This window comes from Homo sapiens, chromosome 3 (genome assembly GCF_000001405.40).
Source record: "Homo sapiens chromosome 3, GRCh38.p14 Primary Assembly".
In the NCBI taxonomy this organism is placed as follows: Eukaryota; Metazoa; Chordata; class Mammalia; order Primates; family Hominidae; genus Homo; species Homo sapiens.
In genome coordinates, this window is record NC_000003.12 from 104361996 (window position 1) to 104383910 (window position 21915).

The following is a 21915-nucleotide window of genomic DNA, read 5'->3' on the forward strand; positions in this document are numbered from 1 at the left end:
TTGCCCAGTCTGGAGTGCAATGGTGCGATCTTGACTCACCGTGAACTCCGCCTCCCGGGTTCAAGTGATTCTCCTGCCTCAGTCTCCCAAGTAGATAGGATTACAGGCATGCATCACCACGCCCGGATAATTTTGTATTTTTAGTAGAGACAGGGTTTCACCATGTTGACCAGGCTGGTCTCGAACTCTCGACCTCAGGTGATCCACCCACCTCAGCCTCCCAAAGTGCTGGGATTACAGGCATGAGCCACTGTGCCTGGCCTAGAAAAACATTTTTGAAAGAATTAATTGCTAGTATGGGCTTCTATCTTCCTCTCACATCAGAGCACTGAAGAAGTCAGCAAAATGAGAGAGAAGTGAATGGATTTGGAGAAAGTAACAACCTACATTAAAAATTATAAAAATCTCCTGAGGAGAAAAAAATTCATCTGTGATTTGGCGAGGGAAGAAAAGTACAGACCAGGACAGGTACTGTATTAGTCATGGTTCTCTAGAGGGACAGGACTAATAACATAGATATGTATCAATGTAAGGGAGTTTATTAAGGAGTACTGACTCACACGATCACTAGGTGAAGTGCCGCAATAGACCATCTGCAAGTTGAAGAGCAAGGAAGCCAATTCGAGTTCCAGAAGCTCAAAAGTACAGAAGCGGACAGTGCAGCCTTTAGTCTGTAGCCCAAGGCCCGAGAGCCCCTGGCAAACCACTGGTATAAGTCCAAGAGTCCAAAAGCTGAAGAACTTGGAGTCCAATGTTTGAGGGAAGGAAGCATCCAGCACGGGAGAAAGATGGAGGCCTGAAGACTCACCCCGTCTAGTCCTTCACATTCCTCTGCTGCTTTTACCCTAGACACGATGGCAGGTGACTAAATGCCGCCCACCCAGATTGAGGGTGGGTATGCCTCTCCCTGTCCACCAACTCAAATGTTAATCTCCTTTCGCAACACCCTCACCGACACACCCGGGAACAATATCTTGCATCCTTCAATCCAATCAAGTTGACACTCAATATTAACCATCACAGGTACCCAAATGTCACAGTAAAGAAAATGGTTTGGATAAAGCATTATAGGTAGTCTGTTTCTGTGCCCCACCATGCTAAGCAGGACAACACCAAGAAACCAGAGGCTCACTGGAGAGATGAGCAGATAATAATGGGTGATGCTAACCACCTCCTCATTCCCACAAACACAGACACACACACACTCATACACACCAATGCTAAAGAACCTTACTTTAAAAAATAACAACTCCTGGAAAAGAACATCATCTGTAGTGGAAGTTCAAGCAGTTACTATAGGAAGTAGAAGGATTGATGTTTGGAAACAGAACAGCCAGTAGGGGTGGTTCTTTGTTATATGTAATCCCTGTGCACACGTACATTAAAACACATACACATGCCCATAAACTTAAACACACCAGTAAAGGCAAAAGTTAGTCCTACAGCTTTGAAATTTCTCTCCAGTATACATTTCCAATCAAAGTACTTGATAGTCTAAGAAGAATAGAAGTAAATTGGCAGAAAATATACCAATAATTATAATTACTAGGTATATAATCAAATAAATAGCTGTTCAACTTGTATAAGTATGATAATTCATAGAACAAAGAAAGATCAGATAATTAAGATAAACAAATATTGTCAGAGAGATAGGAATTATAGGTCACAATGAACGTGAAGCTATGAAGGTGAAATGAATAAAGAAGTAGTTACAGATAAAGAAAAATTTAGTAACCTACAATAACAAGGTGAGAAACGCTCAAAAATAACTAACCAACTAACTGTGTATATAAATAAATAAAAGCACCAGAAAGGTAAAGTAGGATTTAAAAATATGCAATAAATAAAACAAGAGAAAAGAAACAGAAATTAACATATTAACATCTATGTCATTGGAATTCCTAAGATATGAAGAAAGCAAATATAAGGGGAAGAATTTTAAAAAAAAACAACACTGCAGATTTGCAACAATTAATAATAATGAATTTCCGATTAAAAAGACTAATAGAGAATGAACCAGATACGTGAAGCTAGTCTGTACCTAGACACTTTACAATGAAAATAAAACCAAGGGATTATCAAAAGTAATTTGAAGTATTCCAAAAAGAGAAGAATAGAAATATATTGCCATAATATTTGAAATATATTAATTAGAATAAATAATAAAATGGAGTAATAAGTTCAAAACATTAAAGACAATTTGAACATAAACTTTTATTTAAGTTAAATATATATATATATTTTTTTGAGATGGAGTCTCGCATTGTCACTCGGGTGGGAGTGCAATAGCACGATCTCTGCTCACTGCAACCTCCACCTCCCGGGTTCACGCGATTCTCCTGCCTCAGCCTCCCAAGTTGCTGGGATTACAGGCGCCCGCCACCATGCCCGGCTAATTTTTTGTATTTTTAGTAGAGACAGGGTTTCACTATGTTGTCCAGACTGGTCTCGAACTCCTGACCTCGTGATCCGCCCACCTCGTCCTCCCAAAGTGCTAGGATTATAAGCTTGAGTCACTGCACCTAGCCAGATAAAATAATTTTCTAAATGTGAGAGTACAATCAAGATATTCTGAGATGGATAAAACTGCTGAAATTGAACTCTACAATTATTTAAAAAATATTCTCGGAGTATATAGTCTAATTAGCAGATACATAAATCTAAGAGAAAGCATTAAGATATAAAGGTAATATTAGAGATTAAATACAAAAAATTATTTTCTAAAACTTCCAGTACGAAACAAAATTACATATTTTAGAAGAGATAATTAGTCTTTTGAAAATGTCCAAAAATACACAAATGAGTTTTTATAAAAGCAAAATTAAAGGAAAAAGAAAGGCTCACCTTGTTAGATAATAAGACGACAGCATACATTCTAGTACTTGCAACAAATTCCTAGTACTCAAAACAACATGGAACTAGATTAGAAACAGCAAATAGATTGATGAAATAGAATAAACAGAAAAAAAAATCTTCCTCTCCCTCTCTGTCTACATATATAAGAATATTATATGGTAAAGGGAGAAAAATATGGATAACTTTAATAGATGTCATTGAGGAATTAATACAGTGTGGAACATAATAAAGCTGAATTCATGCCTTTCACCATATATATATGTAAATTTACTCCGTATATCTATGCTCACAAGTGGAGTAAATTTGTTGTGAGTTACAAATAGAAAAGTATAATTAACTGAACTTTTTGGAAAGTACAAAAATAAAGGGAAGGCAAGAAGACACAAAAAGAACCTTTAAAAGCTAATATGTATTTGGTGTTTTACAAACAATAAAATCTATATACACTTTATTTATTCCAGTCTTACAATAATTTTTAGAGCATAGTCAACAAGCGACAGTTACAACAATCTAGGTGCTTTAATTTCATTGTCATTTGTATCAGTTATGTATAAAGCCATGATATTAGAAGAAAGATTCATATGTAAAAAAAAAATTTTGTTTGGACCTTAATACTCTCTATTGATGTTTTCCTTTTAAACAAGGAATATACATCAGAGAGATAGGAATTATTTTTTGCTTTGTGTTCAGAAAGTTTCACGTAATACCATTTTGTAATATTTGTATAAATATTGCCTTGTAAAATAACTTATGTAATAGCATTTTATATGTTAGTTCATATTTATTTTTTTCCTTTAATTATTATTATACTTTAAGTTTTAGGGTACATGTGCACAATGTGCAGGTTAGTTACATCTGTATACATGTGCCATGTTGGTGTGCTGCACTCATTAACTTGTCATTTAGCATTAGGTATATAAACTCAGTCCTTAGAAGAAAAATATAAAGTCACTAATAATCCTTGGCATATACTTGAGGATAAATACTTTGGTATCAAATTATGTTCTTATAAAACAAATTAAAAGGACTGGGCACAGTGGCTCATGCCTGTAATCCCAGCACTTTGGGATGCTGAGATGGGTGGATCACCTGAAGTCGGGAGTTTGAGACCAGCCTGACCAACATGGTGAAACCCCAACTTTACTAAAAATACAAAAATTAGCCGGGCGTGGTGGTGCGTGCCTGTAATCCCAGCTACTCAGGAGGCTGAGGCAGGAGAATCGCTTGAACTCGGGAGGCAGAGGTTGCAGTGAGCCGAGATCATGCCACTGCACTCCAGCCTGGGCAACAGAGTGGGACTCTGTCTCAAAATAAATAAATAAAATAAAATAAAATAAAAGTATTTCTAACTTGAATTTTCCACAATTTGCACCTGTATTCTTGGCTAAGATACAGTTAAATTTTTTCTGCAAGTGAATATACAAAGGAAGATTATGAAAGGAAAATAATTGTTTCAGATGCTTATCCAAAAATTACATTATGCAATTTTTCACTTCTTCCTTTTTTTCCAATGCATTATACCTAAACCCAAAATGGAATCCTATTTAGCATTACCACTAAACATCATATATTTTTTATAACTAGGTAAAATTTGGAAAAATCATTAAATTTGTCTCAAATTTTATTCAATGTTTGTTCTAGAAACTAAGTTCATACAAGACATAGTTGATGAGACTCTTACATAAAAGTTACTGATTTTTGGAGAAATATTAGAATATATTAAATAGTTTTAAAAGAAAAATAGAAATATTTCCATCTTAAAACAAATGTATGTTTCAATAAGCACTTGTAGGAAAATCCTCTTATTAAGAAATCTTAGATATAAAAAGAATATTTATATTATCTGAATCTAAGGGTCAGCATTCCATAACGGCTACATGAATATACATGAATTTGATTTATTTAGAAAAAAAGGAAGAAAGAGAGAGAGAGATTAACAGACTTAATCAGGAAACCAAAGATTTTTTTAAGCAATTACATTTGTTAAAATTTAGTTATTACCATTTTCCAACAAAGGGAATCAAACATATAGAAAATATATATATACTTCAAATAAGAATTGTGTCTTTAAAATTACTTATATTCTCTTAAAACATCTAATAAAGTTCAAATATTTACTTGAAGTCTGGTGCGGAGTTTTGGCCTTAATACACTTCCACTATGAGGTTAATAGAAATCCAAAATTCCAACTAAGCTCTTCTCCAGAACTTTCGAACATCTGTTAATCTTTCTTCATACACTGATTGCTATCTATGATGATAAGGGAGAATTCAGGACATTTTTAAAGTAGCAACTATCCATCTATTGCAATCTAGTCACAATGTTCCATGCAGAATAGACAGAAGGGGCCCAGAGCCAAAAAATTCTGACATTTAAAAGGTCTTGACATTTTCCAGAGACTCATGCCCAATTACAAGCCAAGGATAGTTCACTCTCACAACAGAGCTATTGTGTAGCTGTGCAGCACAACTCTGTTTCCGATTATTTCCTCTTTCTTTATGACACCACGATTGGAAAGGTCAAGAGTTTGCCATTAGTTTTTCACCCAACACTTTGAAACGGACTCTTTTCAGCCATTTATTATGATTATTCATTAGAAGTTTTCTATATCACTGAAAAGACACATCTTCAATTGAAAATAATTTGAAGAATGAATTATTAAATAATCCACCAACTATGTTTCACATTCTTTTAATTCACTTTAAAAATGTGTACATTGCTTGTCATACATGTATGGTTTCCATGTTGATTATACAATGTGCCTTTGATTTCTTCTCATCTGGTCTCTAACCATCATTAATAGAATGGCATGTATTTGTTCTACATGTAGTATTATTATTAGTGTATCTGTCTGTAACTATATATGGGACAATATATTGTGAATATTATATTCAAATAATTTATCTATTTGGAGAAATTCAACTATGAAAGCTGTGAATAAGTGAAATGCACTTGAACTAGCCAAGGTCTAAAGGGAATGCATAATAGAGATACAGAGTGCCACAGAAATCTCAGGAAAAGGATCCTAGACCTCAGAATTGCATTGGCCTATGACCTCACATGATTATTTCCATAATCTCGGTTATTTAATACTGCAATTTGGACTCAGACTCTGGTTTTGTGAGTGATAATCTAATGCTCATTTTAGCATAAAATTAGAATTAATCTAAAAGCAATCAGAAGTCTCATGGGTGTTTCACATAACTGAAATATATATCTCCTTAGTAGCCCATTCATTTTTTTCCTTTTGAATTAAGCTCTTATGAAAAGATATGCATTCATATAAAGAAATCTAGAAGGACAATGGCAGATGTAATGCTTTTAAATAGCAATTGCAATGAACATTTGTGGACCTTTCCTGAATGCATTTGTGCTGAAGGAGTAAGGAATATGCCATCCCAAAATACGTTACTCTGGCATATTGACTATTTTGAGGTAAGGACTTGAAAAACAGCAGGTGTAAGAAGATCACTCTAAACTTCATGCTGTTTCTTAAAAATCAGGAGATGAAATTCTCTTGTAAAAAATGTCCTTTTCTTCAAGACCAAAAGGAAAATATCATTCTTATCATCAAGGACAGGAAGTTGAGGTTAAGAGAAATTTGTACAAACCAACCTTGTTACACTAACTTATCTTTCTAACAATTTCTTCACTCAACACCCTCACCCAAGTCCCTTTGCATGCTTTCTCATTTTCATAATTTACTACTCTTTGTTTAATTCAATACATAAGGGTTCAATTCCAACTGCATTTTTGGGTCTTCATTTCATTATTAGAGCTCCCAAATCACATAAAACTTATAACAAATAAATGTTTATGCTTTTCTCTTGATGTTGATCTTTATTTTATCCCAAGAAGGTAAAGGTAAAAATTTGCCTTCTCTACAGTACTTACTGGTACAAATGCACTTTAGTAAAATCATCACAGATATCACAAGTCTTTGTATGGGTGTTATGTGAAACAATGTGTGTGCCTCTAAGAGGAGAAGCACAAACCCCAAATCCACACATAGCCAACACACAATCTTCTGCTTCCTCTTGTGTAGGGCACTGGTTCAAGGAAAAAGTGAAATGCTAAATAACCAATATTGTAGAAGTATGACTAAGCATTTTTTAGCAAGAGCACCTCAGCAATTTTTATAGTAGTGATGGCTAAAGACAGGGCTCTCTTCAATTGCCTATCTGACTTCTGTTCTATGATAACACACACTAACTTGCATGTTTGGTGGTGAATATGTAATGACTATATTGCAGACATTGTGTTTTTTTTTTAATAGAAACACACCTAGCTGGCAAAATCCTATTCAAGTAAATTCTAAAAATTGAATTTCTGTTGAAGATTCCAAATGATACATGGGCTTCATCTTTCTCTGGTGACTTCTCAATATGAAAGTGTAAACTGAAGACAGGGTCAGAAGTTTATAGTCAGAAAGATTTTGAAAGATTGGATGTTATTTTTAACTATTCCTACTTGATATAAGAAATCCATGGCAACAAAAAACATAAATTATAATTCTTCTCCCTAATTTTACCAGGTAAGAGTAAATGTTCTTGTCTTCTGTAATAAGAAATTCCCTGTGGCATTTTTAATATATTATCTTGTATTGTATACTTTATAACACACTTTGTTCTAATTAATTTTTCCCATCACCTCTAAGATTTTTAAAGTCTAGAATAAAATGTAATTTTTTTGGTAACTGCTACAGTACCTAATTCACCCCGGATGCTCAGCAAACATTGGATCATCACCCATAACCCCTGATTGATCTGCTATTACATCAAGAGGAAAGGAAGAGTGGAGCAGAGCTTGACAGCTGGGGCAAAGCCATGGAACTTATGGAATACAGAGATGTGCCCTCTATAAGACTGCAGTAATCTATTAATAGAGAAAAGACTGTACAGTTCTGGAAGAAGGTGAGTGGTTAAGGTCTGATCCAGACAGGTTGCTGTTTGGGGAAGAAAGAATTTTACTTGGAAAAGAAAAAGAAAAATACAGTGTATGCTATTTCTTCCTTTGGGAAAAGAAATGTAGTGTCAAGTAAATTTGCAAGTCATAAAATCTCCATACCATTCAACAAATATTCTACATGTGACCCTATGGATGCCTTATCATAAGGATTGAAATATGCCTGGAGATCTCTAACATAAAATTGTAAAGAATGGGCAGTCAGTAGGCTGTGCCTAAATGTGACAAGGAGGAATATAGATGAGGAAGAATAATAAAAAACAACAGAGACCAAATATTTCTAAATGGATTATGAGAAGATGGCACATGTAGTGTATTTACATATTTCTTAGAAACTGATACAAATAATTTAGTTAGCTCCCTCTGCAGCTATGTTTACAATCTGTATAATGTGCACTTGCTTTTTTTGCCTGGAAAGTCAATTTTCTTCTCGTTTAGAAAGTTGTAAAAGAACAGAGAATTGCAGATACACAAGATGTGTTGAAAACAGGATATATTAACTTCACATTTTCTTACTAGAAAGCCTTTCTACTGTTGTGAAAAGAATAAAATCTAATACATAACTTTGGAAGCATTTTTCATAAGCCTTCATCATAAGCTCTTCATTCGTCTCAGGAGGAAATTGAGTTTTGTATTAGAAAAATGTTACTGGAGTACATTTAGTTTCTATATTTTCATGGCTTTGATTCAGAAATGTGAGGTAGCATAATGTATTCACGAAATCCAATAATGAATCATATGTGTATGTTTTAAAATTTCAACCCATTTTATTTTATAATCATAAGTATGTGAATCACAGATATCAAATCATGGAAAAAGAAACCATAGAACTTGGAAATCATAGAAGATGGCTCAACTAAAAGAAAAATCCATCTAATTAAAAATAATTATAATACCTTTCAAATGCCTCCAGATATGCTAGTCTCTATCTTAACAACAGGATTTTAAGTATAATGAATTTATGTACTTCTTATTCTTACAAATGTATTTCCTGTGGTGTATGCATAAACGAGAAATACTAAATTAAATATTAGACATTGATTCTCTGATGTTTGAAGCCCGTTACCTATTGAGCATTGTTCTTCAAAGTGCAATGCAAATGACGCTTTTAAGATTTTTTGTTTCATTTTGCTTTCTGATTTAAAAATATAAAAATGGCATTAAGAACCTTCATAGATATGCTACTCAAAAGATGCTAAATTTACTTAAACAAAATGTTAATTATTTAAACATTTTTGTTCTAATTGTCTCATCTGCTCCTTTCTTCCTTTCCTGCCTTCTTTTCAGATAATCAAATACAAGTGGTAACCGACATGCAATGGTTCCACTTACCAGTTTTTTTACTTTATAATACTTCAAAAATGATACAGTTATTCTGTTTTTCACTTTCAGCGTGCTTGTCAATAAATTACATAAGATATTCAACCCTTTATTATAAAATAGGCTTTGTTTTAGGTGATTTCTCCCAACTGTAGACTAGGTAAGTATTCTGAGCACATTTAGGGTAGGCTAGGCTAAGCTATGATATTCAGTGGGTTGTATTAGTTGCATTTTCAGCTTATGATATTTTCAACAATGTGTTTATCACCCTAAGTCAGGAAACATCTCTACTTTTGCATTCCACATTGTTTGCTCTATTGAATTTTTCAGCTATACCTCTTTGCACTATTTTTTAAAGTTACGCTAGGGATTACAATTTGTTACAGTCAACGCTAATAAATCTACTTCACTAATAAGGTGAGCACTTTACAATTGATTAATTCCATTTATTTCTTTTTATACAGTTATGCAATTGTGTATACATTATAAATCCCACCATACACATATTAATTTAGACTTAAACAATGAATAATATTTTAAATAATTTTAAATACTCTTTCGTATTTATCCACATATTTATGATTTCCATTTGTCTTTCTTTCTATGGAAGGAAGGATTATCCAGGCTTCCATCTGGGATTATTTCGCCTCAAAATAAAGATACTTCTTTTGTATTTTTACAAATTTTTTGTATTCAGCACAAAATTCTTTTTAAGTTTATATTTCTTGGAAAATGTCCTTGTTTCACTATCAATTTTAAGAGAGATGTGGGATATGAAATTTATTTTTTCAGAATTTTAAAAATGTTACTTTTCTCTTGTTCCTATTGTATCTGACAAAGGGGGCAACCATTATACTTTTTTTCCCTCAGAATTCATCGTATATATTTTTCATGACCTAATTTAACATTTTTGTATTTTTGAGTTTCATCAGGTTGGGTATATCGCACTTGGTTGTAGTTTTCTTTGTATCTATCCTGCTTGGAGTTCATTAAGTTCTTGGATCAGTCAGTTAACATTTTTCATGAATTTTGGAAAATTTCTGTTGTATGTTTTCTCTCCTCTCCTTCCTGAATGCCAATCATCTCTAGATTCCCTATTTCGATATATTCTCACAGGCCTCAGATATTCTAGTCTTTTATTATTACGTTTCCATCTGTACTTCAGTTTGTACAATTTGTATCATTCTTATTTCATTTAAATATTTATTTTGCTTTGTCCAGTCTATTTCCAACTAAGATTGTTTATAAAGATATTGTATTTGTTTCTTTAACGTTTCCATTAGAATCATTTATTTAGGGATATCTTTCCTTTTTTGAATGTCCCCATTTTTCACCCATTTTTTCCTGTTTTCCTATAAACTATTTTAAACTCTCCAATTGTTATATTAAAGTCCCTGTCAGTTAATATCAATATCTGTGCCATCTATAAGTCTACTCAGCTTAACTGCATTTATTTTACTTCTGATTGGAAGTCCTATTTGCCTCTTTTTATAATAAGTAGCTAATTTATTGCATATAGATGTTACAAATGATATGTTATAAAAACTGGATTGCATTATCTTCTCTTATAGATTATTGAGTTGTTCTGGGGGGAATTTCTATTACTGTTAGATTACTTTGATCCTGTCTTAACTTAGTTTTAGGTTGGGGAGGTGGTTCTGTTTCAGTTGTGTTTTCAGAATTTATGTGCAAAACTTTTTTATAGAATATGATTTTTATTTTTACATTTTTTTCTGGTTGATGAAAGCTCGAAATTCAAATATCTTCTCAGTCATTTACCTCAAAAATATGCTTAATTCTCAGATGTTACCTGCTAATGATTACATAATCCTGTTCTTTAAATGTGTAGTTTAGGATTCAGTCAAAGACCAAAGAGCTCCACTACACAGATTTCTTAATCTTCTCCACTGCAAGCCCTTCCCATTGGGTGCTGTTCCCCACAAAAAAAGCTACCACTTTGTCACCTTTTTGATCTGTTTGTTTTGCCCAACAAGATTGCTGCTGCCTGTTAAAGCTATACTTTTAAGGGTTAGAAATGACGCCAACCAGAAGCCAGTTGATGATATGTGCAGAGCTCACCTTTGAGCCATCCCTTCTTCAAGTTTCAGAGCCCTTTGCTGTCTGTTTTCTAATAAACGAAAAGAGTTCCTCAAAAGGTTTGTTGAGTTTTAGAATTGTCCAGAGTAGTAAGGTAAGTCCAATACCAGCTCTGTGGTTCACAGACAAACCCAGAAGTTAACATGAATTTATTTTTAAAATACCATTTTATGTAGATTGTAGTGATTCTCCTATCAGCTGCAGAAAGTTTACTGTGGTTGTTTTTTATTGTTTCTAGTGAACTTTATTGTCATTTTTTATCATGACTAATATGTTTTCATTACTTTAAAAAATACTGGACTTTGTAATTTTAAAAGTCCATTGATTTTTTTTCGTGAAAAATAGCAATTTTTGTTTTCTCTTTTTCTGGGTATCATTTTTGTTGTTGCTGTTACTTTATCCTCAGGAGTTAAGTTCAATTAAAAATATTGCCCAAAGGCCAAAATTAACAAATGAGATCTAAATAAACTAAAGAGCTTCTGCGTAGCAAAAGAGACTATCATCAGAGTGAACAGGCAACCTAGAGAATGGGAGAAAATTTTTGCAATCTATCCATCTGACAAAGGGCTAATATCCAGAATCTACAAGAAATTTAAACAAATTTACAAGAAAAAAACAAATAACCCCATCGAAAAGTGAGCAAAGGATATGAACAGACACTTCTCAAAAGAAGACATTTATGTGGCCAACAAACATGAAAAAAAGCTCATCATCACTGGTCATCAGAGAAATGCAAATCAAAACCACAATGAGATACCATCTCACACCAGTTAGAATGGTGATCATTAAAAAGTCAGGAAACAACAGATGCTGGAGAGGATGTGGAGAAATAGGAATGCTTTTACACTGTTGGTGGGAGTGTAAATTAGTTCAATCTTTGTGGAAGACAGTGTGGAAATTCCTCAAGGATCTAGAACCAAAAATACCCTTTGACCCAGCAATCCCACTACTGGGTATATACCCAAAGGATTATAAATTATTCTACTATAAAGACGCATGCACACTTATGTTTATTGCAGCACTGTTCACAATAGCAAAGACTTGGAACCAACCCAAATGCCCATCAATGATAGACTGAATAAAGAAAATGTGTCACATATACACCATGGAATACTATGCAGCCATAAAAAAGGATGAGTTCATGTCCTTTGCAAGGATATGGATGTATGAGGCTGGAAACCGCTATTCTCAGCAAACTAACACAGGGGCAGAAAACCAAATACAACATGTTCTCACTCATAAGTGGGAGTTGAACAATGAGAACACACGGACACGGGAAGGGGAACATCACACACCGAGGCCTGTCGGGGGTGAGGGGCTAGAAGAGCGATAGCATTAAAAGAAATACCTACTGTAGATGATGGGTTGATGGGTGCAATAAACCACCATGGCACGTGTATACCTATGTAACAAACCCACACGTTCTTCACATGTATTCCAGAACTTAAAGTATAATATTTTTTTAAAGTTGCCATATTATATTTTAATATTAAATAATTAAACTACATTTATTTTCTTGCCTTGAGCATTATGTAAAATTAGAAGATACTGTGTTCATCTCAATCTCCCATGTCATCAATTTACTCTTAAACTGTATTACTTCTAATTCAAGCATATTTATATAATTCCTTCGAGTTTAATATTCATATTAATATAAACTTTTTAGACTTCTTTGCAAATTTTTGTTGGTTTCAGTATCTATGGCTTTTTCCTTGAAATAATATTTTGATTCCTGAATTCTCTTTTTGTTCATTTATAATTCTACTGTAATATTTTTTCAATTACTGCTTTTCAGAAAGGTCAAATAGATGAACAGTTTATGTCTCAGTGGACTACAAAATATAGTTTTTACCTCACTTATGCAAACTAATTTTACTGCCTAAGAAATGCTTGAGTCACATTGTTTTTAAAAATTTACATTTATCCGTTATTTTATGACATTTATAGTTATGGAGAACAACACTGACTCCAGAGTTGTTCATCACGAACAAAGCGAATGCTAAAACCAGCCTGCTTTTGTTTTGTTTTAATGGGCTAGTTGTTTTCTTTCTATTTTATTTTATTAGATTTTATCTTTATCTTTGAAATTTATGAATGTTATAAAATATGTCATAGCATACATTCCTATAATACATAATACAGTTACTTGTGGATTCCATTTGTTTTGAAGCCTAAATCTTTTATTCTATTTATATATTTTTAATGAAACTGTTTATAAAGAGGTCATTGTAGAGTCCCCTATACTTACAAGAAATCATACAAAAAGATCTCATATATCGTTTATCTAATTTCCCCCAAAAGTAATATGCAAAGCTATAGTACAGTACCACAACCAGAATGTCAACACTGATGCAATCCTCTAATCTTACATAGATTTCCCAGTTTTGTTTGTACTCATTTGTGTGTGTGCACATGCATGAGTCTAGTTCTGTACAATTTTGTCACATGTGCACACTCATGTCTCCATCACCAGCCAAGAAACAAAACAGATCCATAACCAGAGAGAGCCCTGATATTGTCCTTTTAAAATCATATGCATCTAGCTCTCCAGCTCCATCAACATTCCGAACCCCTGATTATCACTATTCTCTAGTTTTAAAATTGTGTCTTTTAAAAAATTTAATATACATGGAACCATATAGTATATAATTTTTTGGAGTTGTCTTCTTTTTCACGCACCACAATTTTCTGGAAATTATATTTCACTGTGTTATTACTCCTATTCCAACTTTTCTGTTTCTCATTCCAATGTTTTCTTGTACCTGTGTGTGCTGTACTTTATGTCTCTTCTCTTTTCTTTTCTGGAACCAGAGTCATCAGATCTTTTTGAGTTTTGAGATTCTCGAATATAAATGCATATTAAATAATTTGGATTTTTGTCAAATATGTGCAATTGTTACTACTTCTAACACATCTTAAAATTCTATAAACAATGTTGTTCTCTCATAAAAAAGTTCTTCTGTTAAGAAATTTTTAGCTAGATCCTCCTTCATAGAAGCAATATTTTCTTGTGCATCAATAAAAATACCAGTTTAAGTGTATTTCAGAAATTCACCTATACAAGAACTATTTTCTCTAATTATTTACATTAGTCTCATTATTCTGAAATATTATTTTTTACAATACCCTTTGATTATTTTTCATTCATTTGTAACGAGAGATTACAATATCAGTAACGCTGTTCATTGATAGTGCTATCACAAATGTCTAAAATACTTTTGGGTCAACATCAAAATTAGAAAGAAACTTACAAAGTTTTATTTGCTTTATGGTTTAGGGTGCTGGAGGAAGTTGGAGGTAGTCTTACATAGGAGCTTTTCTACTTATTTGTTTTTGTTTTGTTCTGTTTTTCCTATTTGCTGTCAACTGAATTTTTCCCTCACCCACCAGTCATATGTTAAAGCCTTAACTCCAGTGTAATGGAATTTGGAGATAATCAGGCTTAGATTAAGTGTTGAGGTCTAGAGGTCATCCTCATGATGAAATGAGTGTCCTTACAAGTGCTCTCCTAAGAAGAGGAAGAGATATCCGTGCACTCTCTCTGCTATATGAAAATGTTTCAAGAAGGCAGACACCTACAATTCAAAGATAAAGCCCTCACCACACACCAATGCTGCTGGCATTATAATATTAGGCTGTAAAAACTAAGAAAATAAATGTATGTTTAAGTTATATAATCTTTAGTATTTTGTTATAGGAGGCTGAACACACTACATTAACATACAAGTGTTAATTTTGTATTATTTGTTTTTTTGAAATCTAAGACTTTGGTGGAAAGGTAGCAAACTTTTATTACTGGGGAACTGCTTTTAAAGTAACCAATCATAGATGTGATCATCACTTATGACTCTTTACCATGGGTGGCTTTCCCACTATTAATAAACTTCCAGGAGCGATTCAAATAATTGATATTTTCTAGTTATTAACTGTCCGGCATCATTACATTGCTTCTAAGTAATACCTCAAAAGATAAGAGTCAATCATAGGCATATGCTATACTAATGTTATTTGTGAGGAGTTTTGATGTTATCTATTGTGAACTTCAAATTATGTATACATTTCCTCCATCTAGTTTTGCAACTACTGTAAGTTGCATTACTTCTTCCAACTTTCAGAACTTTTTAGAAAATAACTTTAGTTTCTAGTATTTTGGGAGGCTGAATAGTGGACCCCAAAGATATCCAAGTCTTATTTCCTAGAACCTTTGAATATGTTACCTTACATGGAAAAAGGGACTTTACAAACATAATTAAGTGCAAATCTTGAAGTGGGCAGATTATCTTTAGCTACTGGTAGTCTCAATGAAAAAGCAACAATCTTTATACAAGGGAGGCAGGAGGTCCACACAGACAGACGTGCAATGACAGAAGAAGAAGGACAGAGAAAGAGATTGGGAGATGCTATCTTGCTGGCTTTGAAGATGGAAGATTGAATAAAAAGGCTGAGGAATGCATGAGGCTTCTAGAAACTAGAAAAGACAAGGAAAAAGATTATCTTCTAGATTCCCCAGAAGGAAGGTGGTCTTATCAATCTATTTTAGAATTTCTGACTTCCAAAATTGTAAGAAAACAAATTTGTTTTCAGCCACAAACTTTGTGATAATTTGACTACAGCAATAGAAAACTATTGCAAATACTAATATTTTGTGTTCTAAATGAGTTCAATAAAAAGTATGTTTCATTGGTTAACTTGCTGGTGATGAGATTGTGTGGGTGTATATTTGATTTGGTTTAAACTGTAAGCCAAAATATGTAACAGTAATATTTTAATAAGAACTAGATTCATACAAGGTCTTGTGGTTTATAAAGAAGTATACACATCATCTTTAACTGTTTTCAGAACAAAGCAGATTAATAGTATATCTTCATCTACTTACAGAATACTTTAAAAATAATTCAGAAATAAATATTTATATCTAGTGATACAGTTTGAATATTTGTCCTCTCCAAATCTTATGTGGAATTTTAATCCCCAATGTCGAAGATAGGCCTGGTGGGAGGTGTTTGGGTCATTTGGGGCAGATTTCTGATGAATGATTTAGAGTTTTCCTCGTGACAGTGAGGAGTTCCCATGAGATCTCGTTGTTAGAAGTGTGTGCCACCTCCCCGCTCTATCTTACTCCCTCTCTTGCTATGGGACATGCCTGCTCCCCTTTTGTCTTCTGCCATAAATGTAAGCTTCTTGAGGTCCTCACCAGATGCGGATGCCAGTACCATGTTTCCTGTATAGCCTGTAGAACTATGAGCTAAAACAAACCTATTTTCTTTATAAATTATCCAGCCTCAGGTATTTATAGCAACTCATAAACAGCCTAATAAAGAAAATTGGTGCCAAGGAGGAAAGCATTGCTACAAAGTTGTGTGAAAATGTAGAAGCAGCTTTGGAACTGGGTAATGGAGAGAGGCTGGAAAAGTATGAGGGGCTCAGAAAAAGACAGGAAAATGAAGGAAAGTTTGGAACTTCTTAAAGACTAGTCAAATGGTTATTGCCAAAATGATGGTACTGATAGAAACAGTAAAGTCCAGGCTGAAGAAGTCTCAGATGGAAATGAGAATCTTATTGGGAATAGGCGTAATATGCAAGAACAGCCTTATACAGGGAATTGGTGCCAAGGAGTCGGGCATTGCTATAAAGATACCTGAAAATGTGGAAGCAGCTTTGGAACTGGGTAATGGGAAGAGGTTGGAAGAGTCCAAAGGGCTCAAAAAAAGGCAGGAAGATAAAGGAAAGCTTGTAACTTCTTAGAGATTGATTAAATGATTGTGACTAAAATGCTGGTGAGAATATGAACAGTGAAGTCCAGGCTGAAGAGGTCTCAGATGGAAATGAGGAACTTGTTGGGAATGGGAGCAAAAGTCACCCTTGTTATGCCTTAGCAAAGAACTTGGCTGCATTGCGTTCATGCCCTAGGGATCCGTGGAAGTTTGGACATAAGAATGATGACTTAGAGTTTCTGGCAGCAGCAAAGCATCCAAGACATGACCTGACTGCTTCTACAGCCAACTTTCAGATGTGAGAGCAAATAAATAACTTAAAGTTGAAGCTTACATTTTAAAGCAAAGCAGAGAGTAAAAGTGGAAAATTTGCAGCCTTGCCATGTGGTAGAAAAGAAAAGCCAGTTTTCAGAGGAAAAGTCCAAGCAGGCTTCAAAGAAATCACTTGCTAGAGTGATTAGCATAGCCAAAAGAAAGCCAGAAGCTAATAGCCAAGACAATGGGAAGAAGTCCTCAATGATATTTCAGGGATCGCCAAGGCAGCCCCTCCTGTCACATGCCCAGAGGTCTGGGAGGAAAGGATGGTTTCAGGGGCTAGGCTCAGAGCACTGGTCAGCCTCAGGAAACTGCTCTCTGCATCCTGGCCACTCCACCTCCAGCTTTGGCTTAAAGGAACCAAGTACAGATTGGTCCCAGCTCCACTGGTTGCAAGCCATAAGTCTTGGTGGTTTCCACAAGGTGCTAAGTGTTCAGATGTTCACAATGCAAGCATGAAGTAGGTTTGGGCTTCCACCTAGATTTCACAGGATGTATGGAAAAAGCTGGGTGCCCAAACAGAAGCCTGCCACAGGATCAGAGCCGCCATAGAGAAAATCTACTAGGGCAATGATGAGGGGAAATATGGGGTTGGAGCCCATATAGAAACTCTTCTACCGGGGAATTGCCTAGTGTAGCTGTAGGAAGGTGACTACCACCCTCCAGACCTCAGAATGTTAGATTCACCAACAGCCTGCACCCTTTGCCTGGAAAAGCCACAAGCACTCAGTTCCAACCTGTGAGAGCAGCCATGTAGGCTGCACCATTCAAAGCCAAAAGAGTTAGGCTACCCAGGGCCTGGAACACCACCCCTTGAGCCAGGATGTGGGACATGAAGTCATGGATTATGTTGGAGAGCTTTAAGATTTAATACCTGGGTTTCAGACTTGTGTGGGGGCTAATACCTGTTTCTTTTGGTCAGTTTCTCACTTTGGCAACAGAAATGTTTACCCGATGCCTATACTGCCATTGTATTTTGGAAGTAAATCACTTATTTTAATTTTACAGACCCACAGGTGGAAGGAAATGAAACTCAGATGAGAATTAGGACTTTGAACATTATGTTGAATCAAGTTAAGATTTTAGGGGACTACCATAAAGAGATTATTGTATTTTGCAACGTGAAAAGGACATGATATTTGAGAAACCAGAGGCTGGATGATATAGTTTGCATGTTTGTCTCCTCCAAATCTCATGTTGGAATGTAATCCTCAGTGTTGAAGGTGGGGCCTCGTGGGAGGTGTTTGGGTAATGGGGGTGGATGCCTCATGAACACCTTAGTGCTGTCCTCATGATGGAGTTAGTTCTCATGATATCTGATTGTTTAAAAGTGTGTGGCACCTCCCCACTTTCTCTCGTTTCTTCTTGCCACGTGACATGCTTGCTCCCCCATTCACCTTCTGCCATGATTGCAAGCTTCCTGAGACCCTCACAGCAGCAGATGCCAGCACCATGCTTCTTGCATAGCTTGCAGAACCATGAGCCAAAATAGACTTATTTTCCTTATAAATTACTCAGCCTCAGATATTTCTTTATAGCAGTTGAATAAAATATAGCTAATACAGCTAGCTTGTCATCAATAACTACATCTGTAATATAGATATGTGAAATCCACAAGACAAGTGGATACATCCAAGAAACTTACCTAATAATATTCTTTGAATTTAGGGTGGTGCCAGAACCATGTTGAGAGAGAGAGAGAGAAAGAGAAGAAAGTTAGAGAATCACAGATCTGATCTCATGATCTCACCTATAGAATAACCTAGAAAGGGAAATAATAGTGACTCTTTTGGACGTATGTGATCAATAAAAATAACACAGTTGGGCTACCTACAAGGACAATCTCAAAAAAAATAGCTGAAGGATTTTTCTATAGACGTAATAGATTTTTGTTTGTTTGTAATTCTAAAACTCATGACTGGAACTTATGTATTTGCAAGACGAGGTAGATTACTTTTTTCTCCCCCTAAGTATAAGCAAAAACCCTCAATATTATGTGTAAGACAAACATAAGAAGACTCCAAAAGATGGAGAGAGGAAAGGAAAGTTGCTAGAGACCCAAGAAACATATCTGAATTTTCTTTTTGACTCATGTATTGCAGTCTGAATGCTAGAGAAGCTGACAAACTGAAAATGACAGTAGGAACAGTAAGTCCAAGAAAAGCTTCTTCTCCTCTACCAAAGGAATAGAAAAGTGTCATCCTAGCAAGGCAGAAACATTCAGACAATTACTATTCTGCTCTAGCCAAACAACACAAAAAATAATTATAACACCTACCTCCCCAAAACACACACACGTGCCAACAATGTTGAGTGAGGAATTTAGGATTACATTATTTCCAGACTGCAATGAAACACTCCAGGCACCAGGTTGGTATTAGAGAAGGCTGAGTAGGAATTTGGAACTTCTATCGCCACTGGACTATAACAAAGCCTCCTAATATCAATGGAGACCAATTGGGAAGCCTGGTACTTTTACACTCACCTGGTGGTAATGAGGCACCCCTCTCCCACTTTGCTAGACTGATGTCCAAGAAAACCAGTGGAAAGTTAGGACTGTCACATTCACTAGCTTTAAAAAAGGGCACCCTCTCCATTGGTGTCAGATAAGGACAAATCTTGGTAACAGTAATAAGGTGACCCTCACAGCCAGGGTAGTGTTTTGGGGGCCCATGATGGGAGCCTGAACTTCCACTCCATTGTAGTAGTAAAAGGAGCTCCTCTTCCACAGCCAGTATCAATAAAGTTCAGGTGGAGGAACTGGAGTTCCATCCCAGACACCAGTAACAGAACTTCATTTCCCCTTCACCAATCAGAATAGGGTTGGAAGAGGCCTGGTAAAACACAAACCTTTAAATAAGAACCAGAGTCTTATAACATAATACCACAAATGTGCAGGTTTTGATCAAACATCACTCTTTATTTCTTCCTACCAAGAATGATATTTTAAATTGAATGAGAAAACACAATCAACAGATGCCAAGACGAAGTTTACACCGTTGGTAGAATTGTCTAATAAGATTTACAAAGCATCTATCATAAAGATGCTTTTGCACAATGTGCAATTACCAATATGCTTGAAACAAATAAAAAAAAGAAACTCTCAGCAAAGAAATAGAAGATCTAAAAAAGAAATAAAGGGAAATTTTAGAACTTGAACATATAACAACCAAAATTAAAAAAAACTAAACTGAATAGTTGGGTTCCATGACATTCTAGAAAGGAAAGAGGAATGAATCAGTGAGCTTAAAAATAGAACAATACTAATTACCAAAGTAATTTTCTCTTATTTTCAGATAAAATAATGTGAAAAATCAGAACCTAAAGGTGTGACTATAATAAAAGGTCTCATACTGATACTTCAGTCCCAAAAGGAGATGAGAAGGGGGTTGGGAATAAAATATTATTCAAATAAATTAAGACTGAAAATTCCCTAAATTTAGCAGAAAAAAAAATATAGATTCAAGGACCTGAGAAAACTAAAAATATAAGCCAAAAAGGATTCAAACCAAGCCCCATCATAGTCAATATTTTGATAATTAAAGACAATGAAAAAATTTTGAAAGTTACTACAGAGAAAAATGCATCCCATATATTGGAAAAGCAGTTTGAATGAAAGCTGATTTTTCAAGAACTGAAAGAACTGTCAACATGGAATTCTACATCCAGTGAAACTATCTTTAGTAATGAAGGGGAAATTAAGACAGTCTCAGATGAAAAAAACCTAAGTCATCAGCTTATCTAAATTTAACAAAAAGAAAATTATAAAAGAAGTAAGCTTGAAACATCGTGAAAAAAGGAATAATGTTATCAGAAAAAATATGGGTATATTAAATACATTTTCTTTAGCTTTTGGTTTTTTAATTACATTTGATGTTTCAAACAAAAATTTCATGATGAAGGTGCCAAAACAATTGCAACAAAAACCGAAATTGACAAATGGGACCTAATTAACCTAACGAGCTTCTATACAGCAAAAGATATTATCGAGAGAGTAAACAGACACCCTACAGAATGGAAGAAAAATATTTGCAATATATGCATCTGACTAAGGCCAGATGCCTATATATCCAGAATCTATAAGAAACTTAAACAAATTAACAAGCAAAAAGACAAACAACCCCATCAAAAAGTGGGCAAAGGACATGAACCGATAATTTTCAAAAGAAAGTATACATGTGGCCAGCAAAAATATGAAAAAATAGTTAGCATCATTAGTCATTAGAGAAATGCAAATCAAAGCCACAATTAAATACCACCTAATATCAGTCAGAATGGCTATTATTAAAAAGTCAAAAAATAGTGTTCTGGCAAGGCTGTGAAGAAAACAGAATGCTTTATACACTGCTGGTGGTAATGTAAATTAGTTCAGCTGCTGTGCAAAGCACTTTGGAGATTTCTCAAAGAACTTAAACAGAATTACCATTTTACCCAGAAATCCTATAATTGGTTATATACCCAAAAGAATGTAAATCATTCTATCATAAAGACACATGCAGGCAAATGTTCATCACAGCACTATTCACAATAGCATAGACATAAAATCAACTTAAATGCCCATCAATGATAGAATGGATAAAGAAATTGTGGTAAATATATACCAGGGAATTATACACAGTCATAAAAAGGGAGAGAATATGTTCTTTGC

At 34.6% G+C, this 21915-nt stretch overlaps 1 long non-coding RNA gene across 2 annotated transcripts in view; it reads right to left on the minus strand.

Annotated features, from left to right (window-relative positions):
- Positions 1-21915, minus strand: part of LOC105374020 (uncharacterized) — a 122436-nt gene that overhangs the window by 27757 nt on the left and 72764 nt on the right. Inside the window, exons 1-3 of one of the 2 annotated variants that reach the window (XR_924300.3) lie at positions 4975-5179; positions 2845-2901; positions 40-261 (exon numbers count right to left, since the gene is read on the minus strand). The exons of the other annotated variant lie outside the window; for it this stretch is intronic. This is a non-coding gene — a long non-coding RNA (uncharacterized LOC105374020). Of the gene's footprint in view, positions 1-39; positions 262-2844; positions 2902-4974; positions 5180-21915 lie in introns of those variants that run through there. 2 annotated transcript variants of the gene reach the window in all.